At 43.6% G+C, this 8,830-nt stretch overlaps 1 protein-coding gene across 5 annotated transcripts in view, besides 2 other annotated features; it reads left to right on the top strand.

Moving 5' to 3' along the window:
- Positions 7,649–7,778: a silencer, noted in NCBI's record as "silent region_2633". NCBI's record gives its function as "represses an Ori minimal core promoter by ATAC-STARR-seq in GM12878 lymphoblastoid cells {active_cell/tissue: GM12878}" and the evidence as "EXISTENCE:reporter gene assay evidence [ECO:0000049][PMID:35858748]".
- NOC3L (NOC3 like DNA replication regulator) overlaps positions 7,852–8,830 on the top strand; it is a 48,033-nt gene continuing 47,054 nt past the window's right edge. For all 5 annotated transcript variants that reach the window (XR_002957007.2, XR_007061982.1, NM_022451.11 and 2 more), the window contains exon 1: positions 7,852–7,961. Coding sequence is in view for 3 of the 5 variants with exons in the window: in NM_022451.11 (NP_071896.8) it covers positions 7,953–7,961 (9 nt within the window). In the remaining 2 variants the exon portion in view is untranslated. The remainder of the gene's footprint in view (positions 7,962–8,830) is intronic.
- Positions 7,919–8,178: an enhancer, noted in NCBI's record as "active region_3788". NCBI's record gives its function as "activates an Ori minimal core promoter by ATAC-STARR-seq in GM12878 lymphoblastoid cells {active_cell/tissue: GM12878}" and the evidence as "EXISTENCE:reporter gene assay evidence [ECO:0000049][PMID:35858748]".

Genomic DNA, 8,830 nt, shown 5'->3' with positions numbered 1-8,830 from the left:
CCAGCAGCTTTGGAATAGAGACCTAGAGACAATACATCCTTGTTTTACAGAACGTTCTTTCACAGCGAGCTCCTAGCAGAGTCTGGTACAGAGTGGAGGGTGAAAAACTATTGCTGCTCAAAGGACTATCAGAAACTGTGCATGACTTTGTGCATGGCATCCACTTTTCCTTCCCTAGGGATTTTGAAAGACAATGAATAAATAAAGAATGGCTTTGAACAATCAATGTAAGTAAAGAAACAGGAAATGTCATTTCTTAGCTTAATTTATCAACAAACATCTTAAATAAAAAAGAACATGTATCACAACCCTAGGAAAATCCCTCTAAAATTTTTCCCTGACCATAATATTGCAGATTAGGAAAACAGCTTAAGGCATTTGATCCCTTTTGTTGGAAAACTATTCCCACTAGCAGGACTGGCATCTTGTTATGTTTCCCATCTGGTGTAAACACAAACTTGGCCACACTGTAATATCTAATCCTGTAATTCATTAATTAAATAAAAACAAATTAAACACAGCTAATATTTATATCATAAGATTATTGAGGATTCAATGAAATAATTCATATCTAGGGAAACATAAAAATTACCTAAATAAGTGGTACGCTGGGGTCCTCTGAATTTGATCTTGAGTTGAATCGTGTCCCCCCTCCAAAAAAAAAAAGATATGTTGAAATCCTAATCCTTGGTAACTATGAACATCATCTTATTTGGAAAGGTCTTTGCAGATGTAATAAAGTTAACATGAGGTCATTAGGGTGGGCCCTTAATCCAATATGACTAGTATCCTTATAAGAGGGGAAGACAGACATGTGAAGACAGAGGGACACATGGAGAATAATATGTAAAGATGGGGGCAGAGATTGGATTGATGCATCTACAAGCCAAAGATTGCCAAGGATTGCCAGCTGTCACCAGAATCCAGGACAGAGGCATGGAACAGATTCTTCCTCAGAGCCCTAAACATAAACAAACAATGCCAACATCTTGATTTTAGACACCTTGCCTCCAGAGCTGTGAGATAATACATTTTGGTTGTTTTAACCCACCCAATTTTTGGTTCTTTTTTACGGCAGCCCAAGGAAACAGATACATAAGGACTTGAGTGCAAGTGGTTTATTTTGAAGGTGAGTCCAGGAACCATTTCTAGCAGGGTGGGGTTGTGAGGCAGGGAAGCAAAGGACACTAATAGTGTGTGCTGATGAGTAGGATATCTCTGCAGGTGGAACTCAATCTTTGGGAGACAAAGTGGAAGATGTCTTAGAGCAGGGGTCCCCAACCCTGGGACCACAGACCTGTACCAGTCCGCGGCCTGTTAGGAACTGGGCTGTACAGCAGGAGGTGAGCGGCAGGTGAGTGACATTACTGCCTGAGCTCCGCCTCCTGTCAGATCGGTGGAGGCATTAGATTCTCATAGGAGCTTGAACCCAACTGTGAACTGCACATTTGAGGGATCTAGGTGGGACGCTCCTTATGAGAATCTAACTAATGCCTGATGATCTGAAGTGGAACAGTTTCTTCCTGAAACCATCCCCCACCCTGATCTGTGGAAAAATTATCTTCCTCAAAACCCGTCCCTGATGCCAAAAAGGCTGGGGAGCGCTGCCTTAGAGGTGTTCTACCTCTGAGGATTAAGGACATTGGTATGTTTTTGTTATATTTTATTGGTATATTAGCTTTCTATGGCTGCTGTAACAAATCATCACAAATTTGGTGGCTTAAAACACAGAAATTTATTCTCTCACAGTTCTAGAGGCTGCAAGTCTGAACTTAATATCACTGGACTGAGCTCTAGGGGAGAGTTTGTTCTTTATCTCTTCCCCTTTCTGGTGGCTGCTAGAATTCCTTGACTTGTCTACATCACTCCAATCTCTGCCTATTGTAGTCACATTACCTTCTTGTCTGTCTGTGTGAAATCTCCTGTCTCTTAAATGGATTCATGTGATTGCCCACTTGCATAATCATTTCATCTCAAAATCTTTAACTTAATCACAACTTTGCCTGTATAAGTTAATATTCATGTTTCCAGGGACTTAGCCTTCATATATTTGGAAGTCATGTTTCAGCCTACCACAATTGCTATAGTTATCCTTCAATTACCATTTGTTGTTGATTGAGGATGCTTCCAGTGGAAAAATCTGTGGCACTTCAGACCTGCCCTACAGGGGTCCAGAAAAAGTCCTTAAGTGAAAATTTGCAAGTGCTCAGAGGACTTTTTCAGCATGTATGGAACACGAAGTACTGAGGATATGTAGACGAGACACCAACAACATTTGTGTAGGGCCCCCAGGAGACCTCCCGCACAGCCCCTTGCGGCTTTCTTTCTGTGTCCTGAATAAAAAATTAGAGTGCCTTGACTGCTCTGTGACCTAGCCATCTGCAGGTTCATCCCAGCAGGCTTCAACACAAACTGGGGCTTTGAACAGTCCCAGGCACTGGTAAAAGTATCTAAGTTGTTGCCCAAAACACTGAAAGTACTGGCTCAGGCCCTGAGTCACATACCTTAAACCCTCATATAAACTCCGTACCCTGACCCCCTCACTGTGGACATACCTAGGTCCACACCCCTTTTCTCTCACTGTCCATCATGAGGATTGCCACAGCACTCTGTAGGTAAGTTCTCCTAACAATTGTTTTGGGTTGATCACCCCGGCATTTAATGCTTCTTTCGGCCAGGCACAGTGGCTTACGCCTGTAATCCCAGCACTTTGGGAGGCCGAGGCGGGCGGATCACCTGAGGTTGGGAGTTCGAGACCAGCCTGACCAACATGGAGAAACCTTGTCTCTACTAAAAATACAAAATTAGCCGGGCATGTTGGCACATGCCTGTAATCCCAGCTACTCAGGAGGCTGAGGCAGGAGAAGCACTTGAACCCGGGAGGCGGAGGTTGAGGTGAGCTGAGATCGTGCCATTGCGCTCCAGCCTGGGCCACAAGAGTGAACTCTGTCTCAAAAAAAAAAAAAAAAAAAAATGCTTCTTTCTATGGCATCCCAACTGGGGGCCTTTTCTCAAGACAGTTTGGGACACACCGTTGTGGGAACTTCCCTGTCGCTGCTTTTGTTTGTTTTTGAGATGGAGTCTTGCTCTGTTGCCCAGGCTGGAGTGCAGTGGTGAGATCATAACTCACTGAAGCCACTAATTCCTGGCCTACCACTGCTTTTGGGGTGATTCAAGCTGTGGGTTCAGCAGGACAAAAAATCTGCTACATCATTATTCTAATGTTTGCTATTATTTTGGTTTTTGGTTAATACTTTTAATTTAATAATTAATTATAATTATTAGCTATCTTAACCTAATTTTCTGATGCACCACAATATAAATTATTTGTACTACCTGAGTGACCTTGCTTAGAACAAATTATACCATCTATTTAAACTTTGTCCTTTCTCCTGTTCTCATTTAGGTATACATTGCTCTATGACTTCCTCTAAAGCAGCTTGTCTTTATTTTTTAGCACCTATGTGATCTTTTCTATTATTCTCTATTTGGTAATTCATAATTATCATTCTCAACTACACACAAACACACACACACACACACACACAATTTCTCAACAATATTTTAACATTTTCAAAGGTAGAGACCATGATATACGTATTTTCAAATCCTTTCTTTTTTTTTTTTTTTGCGATAGCCTCACTCTGTCGCCCAGGCTGGAGTGCAGTGGCACCCTCATAGCTCACTGTAGCCTTGAACACGTGGCCTCAAATAATCCTCCTGCCTCAGCCTCCCAAAGTGCTGGGATTACAGGCAGGAGCCACAATGCCTGGACAGTAATATCTAAATATTACTTAAATATTACAGTTATGTTTTTTTAGCTCTCTGATAGTGAGTTGTTTTTTTTTCCCCTTGGCTGTAGCACTATCTCAAAGGTCTGAACAGAGATTCTAGACTCCTTCCCTCCCCTGGATTTTATTTTACTTTAGTTTAGTTTTGTTTTTGTTTCCCCTGAATTTTAGGAAGGGAAACAGAAAGAGGCCTAGGCAGAGCCAAGCACTTCGACATAAGGGAGGACTGTATATTGTACAATTCCAGGGGCGTCATTCACAGTTTATTTGTAAAGATAGCAAACTTTTTTTTTTTGATCTATGACAGTGAAGTGTCTTAAGGACATGGAAGCTTTTTCTAATTTCCACAGGTCCCCTTTGGGTGAGCTGTAGGGCAACCTGCCTGCCTCTTTTATGTCTAAGATGATTGACAGTGATAACATCCAATTACGATGTTTATTTTCTAATTTGTGATACTGAAGTGTGGGCTTTTTCTATCGCCAAACACTTACTACAAAGTGACAAACATTCATATAGTCCCTTATTATAACTTATGTAAATTATCTTGTGGTACTGGAAAAAAAGAAGCCTTGTTTATTATTCCATGTCCACTTAGTGACAGTTTTCAAAACTGTTTGTTTATAGAAAATGGATTAATTATAATACGGTAAATGGCCAAGAAAGCCCTTGCTTGTTGACAAAGATCTCTGGAGTATTTGGGATTCTAGCTGTGGGTAAAAGAAAGAAATAGGGAATGTTACAAGAGGTACAAGTGAAAAAAAATAGTTCTTTTGAACATGGTAATGTGAAGTCCCATGGTTAGGAGGTAGAGCTGTCCAGGAGGCAGATGGCTATAAGAATGAAGCTTGGGGAAGAAGTATAGGCTGGACAAAATCTCTTTGTAATAGGTAGATGGATGAAATCACGCTGGAAAAGCAAGTAGAGCAAGAAGAGTGGTAGACAAGTGGGCCAAGAGTAGAACCCTGAGAGTCACCTACATTGAAGAAGCCTAAGGAGGAAGAAATGGAGGTAGGAGGAGAACCTGGGGAACAGGCTATTAGGAAAGCCAAGGGAATCAACATTCTAATGTGTGAAGGGAGATACGCGTAGCATCAAAGGCAGCAGAGAGATCTAGTGAGGTTAAATGAGAAAGAAGTAATGTAATTCCGTACACAATTAGAAAAAACTCACAACACTTTGGAGGTTCTTGGTGACCTTAATTAGATCAGTTTCAGCGGAATGTTATGGGCAAAGCCACGTAAGTTCTTAACAGACTTCCTGAAAGTGCTAACAGGAATCTCCAGGTACAATCCCTGTGATACTAGTTTGGGAAAGCCCAGTGACCCTTATCAGCTCAAGTGTCCAGGAAAGCTCTAAGGGATCTAAGAGGATCTGGAGTCCAAATGGGGCTTGGCAGTGGATTGAGTGAAGAAGAGATGACACAAAGGTGGACACACAGAATTAAGAAACCAGCAAGATTAAATGGAATTAAAAGGAATCATATAAACTTCCATTTTTGAGTATTTTCGAACAACAGGCTGCTCGAATTCAAGATGGGAGAGATTTAGCTTGGCAACAATTGCTTTAAAATGATCCAGAGATTTTAGTTGATTGTAAACTTAAAATGGGCCAAGAGTATGACACAGTTCTTAAAAAAGCTAGCACATGCTGGGCATGGTGGCTCATGCCTGTAATCCCAGCACTTTGGGAGGTTGAGGTGGGAGGACTGCTTGAGCCCAGGAGTTTGAGACCAGCCTAGGCAGTATAGCAAGACCAAATCTCTGCAAATAATATAAATTAGCCGGGCATGGTGGTGCGTGCCTGTAGTTTCAGCTACCCAGGAAGCTGAGGTGGAGGATCCCTTGAGCCTGGGAGGTTGAGGCTGCAGTGAGCTGAGAGCTGCCACTGCACTCCAGCCTGGGCAACAGAGAAAAAAAATAAAAAAAGGCAATCTTTATATTAAAAAAGAAAATACTAGCACAGGATTGGGCTATGACAATAGAGAAGAGAAAGTGGAGACGCTAAAAGAATACTTTTTTCTGGAAGTAGGGACAAGTAGGAAAAGAGGCACATAAAAGAGCAATTAAAGGGAGATAAGTTTATTAGAACAAATCTTAAAAATGGAAGAGATTTGAATATGTTTATAAGCTGAGGGGAAGGATCTATTAGAGAGGGAAAGAACACAGGAAAGAAGGGATAATTAATGATACAAGAATCTGATGAAGCTGGGAGGAGTTGGTTTTGAACTGGAATGGGGATGCCTCATCCTTGGAGAGACTGGAAGGAAGGCTAAAAGGATGGGAGTGACTGTAGATATGTTGATATGCTTGGGAGGGAATTCAGGCACTTGGGAAGAGCACAGGCTGATGTTTTCCACTTGTTTGATGAAGTAATACTCCAGCGGGACAGGCTCTGCTGTTTCTGACACTGTGTGGAAGGAGACAGAGCAAGGAAGAAGTTGGAAGGGAGGTTGAAAGAAGAGTGCCAGATGGACCTCTTGGTCTTTGTGGTGGGATCAGGAAATTGGTACTTTTTTCCCTCAGTCTCTCTAAGAGCAACACTATTCAAGGGGCTCAGAACCCTTTGAGCCGCACTACTGGGTTTTCCCACCTGCTCAGGACTGCGAGGCCAGACTCTGTGTCAGGGCCATGCTCAAAAATCATAGACTCAAAAAAACCCACAAAAAACTTGAAGTGGAATGCTTAAATTTATTGAGAAAAAAAAGTCTTTGAGAGACAAGCACTTTGATACTCTTATTCTTGCAATCCATAAAACTTCCTGTAAAAATGAACGACTTTAGGCGGGGCGCGGTGGCTCATGCCTGTTATCCCAGCACTTTGGGAGGCCAAGGTGGGCGAATCACGAGGTCAGGAGATCGAGACCATCCTGGCTAACACGGTGAAACCCCGTCTCTACTAAAAATACAAAAAAAATTAGCTGGGCGTGGTGGCGGGCGCCTGTAGTTCCAGTTACTCGGGAGGCTGAGGCAGGAGAATGGCGTGAACCCAGAAGGCAGAGCTTGCAATGAGCCCAGATTGCGCCACTGCACTCCAGCCTGGGCGCCAGAGCAAGACTCCGTCTCAAAAAACAAAAACAAAAAACGACTTTGGTGAAATTACTAAGCAGACAGAATTTACCCAAAGTTGTAAGATACTGAAATGCAGATACAGTTTTTTATTTTTATTTTTATTTTTTAGACAGTCTTGCTCTGTCACCCAGGCTGGAGTGCAGTGGTGTGATCTCGACTCACTGCAACCTCTGCCTCCTGGGTTCAAGCGATTCTCCTGCCTCAGCCTCCCGAGTAGCTAGGATTACAGGCGCACGCCACCATGTCTGGCTGATTTTTGTATTTTTAGTAGAGACAGGGTTTCACCATGTTGGCCAGGCTGGTCTCGAACTCCTGGAACTCAGGTGATCCACCCGCCTCTGCCTCCCTAAGTGCTGGGATTACAAGCGTGAACCACCGCACCCAGCCATGGATACAGTTCTTTATCAGCTAATGGTTAAAAATTAAAGCAAAAAAAAAATGCAAAATAAAACACTAAGAATCACAGACTTTTAAGTGACCAAGGCTGATGAGAAATCATTCGCCATGCTACAAACACGGCCAGAATGTCCGTCGAGGGGCAGGCATTACACACAAAAAATAAGCTTCTTTCTGCCCTCAGGACTGTATGGAGGAAAAAGACTACGAAAATCAGTATCTATAACAGCATGAGATAAGCAACGTGAGGAGAGGCACAAAATGCAATGAGGTGACCGAAAAAACCAAGTCCTCTCATTCTGAGAGGAGGAGCCCGATTTCCCCAAGGTTTTAAAAGAAATAAATAGGGCGAGAGTCAAAGAATCATACTCAGATAACCTTGCAAAATGCGCCCCTCCCGCCCGGCTTCCCGCCTTTGGCACCGACGCCCTCGGGGCTTCCCTCGTGCCAGTCCGCGCGCGCACGCCGGGGGGCAACCGGTCCAGGGCCGCGAGACAGTCACCGCGAGAGGGCGCGAGCCCGAACCTGTCTACGGAAGTCCCGCCCTCACTTCCGGCGGCGGAGGATTGGGAGGGACTGAAGGCCGTTTCCGGCTCTGGTAGTGTAGGGACTTCGGCACGTGTGTCATTCCCCGGGATTTCTGTAGTAACCCTGCTTCTGGTGAACTTGTCTGGCCGGCATTCATTTAAGGCCTAAGGATGAAGGCGGTAAGTGTCCTCAAAAGCCCGGTCGCCGCGGCCTAGGGCCCCTTCGGGTGATAGAGTCACTGCCTGAGTTAGCTTTTAGGCAGGTTTTCACCCGTGTCTAGGGGGCGGTGGTTTAGACTGGGGGCTTTCCATTCCTTACACCGAGCTCATCCTTGGTTACCCACTGTGTGCGCGCACCACTTCAGAGTATCACGAAGAGACAGGCACGGAGTTTTGCATGCGTGGGATTTCATACTTTGAAGGAATTTTTCAAGACCGTCTTTCGAACTCGTTTTTCACAAATGAGAAGCAGGGTCCTACCCTCAGCGAGTTTATAATGTGAGTCACGGTACCCATGAAGGGTAAAGAGATAGAAAAGCAAGTGATTTGTCCTGGTTCTCCCAGAAAATAAGAGGTAGTCCTGGGGTTCAGGACTAACTTTGGGATTTCTGAATGAGTCACCAGCAAGAGAAGTGGAATCCAAAGATCCGAATTCAGTTTTGCCCTCCTTAGTTTATGGGTCTTTTGGCAGCTTCATCAGTAATGTGAGGATAACAGCAGTCAGTACTCAACTAGGCTGTTAGAGGTGATTTGTTGGAGCACTTTGTAAGTAATAAAATCGTAGATAAATGTAAGTTTTATTAAAGACAGCCAGCATTTTGCTTTGAATGTGTTAAACTACAGGTGTGTTAAACTAGCCTTGAATAGCCACTTACCACTACTAGATCAGTGGTTCTTAACCTGTTTGGGGATCGTAGAACCCTTTGAATTGCTGTGAATTGGGATTGAATAACTGATGCTGTAGCGCTCTTCTGTAGGATTAAAGCCATCGTTTGGTTTTAGCTTTTATATGCAAGTCTGTGGCTGTGGGACATTGAAATTGTGGAATT

This window comes from Homo sapiens, chromosome 10 (assembly GCF_000001405.40).
Source record: "Homo sapiens chromosome 10, GRCh38.p14 Primary Assembly".
Classification (NCBI taxonomy): domain Eukaryota; kingdom Metazoa; phylum Chordata; class Mammalia; order Primates; family Hominidae; genus Homo; species Homo sapiens.
The sequence above is the reverse complement of the archived record's forward strand: the minus strand, read 5'-3'. Positions and strand labels throughout refer to the sequence as shown.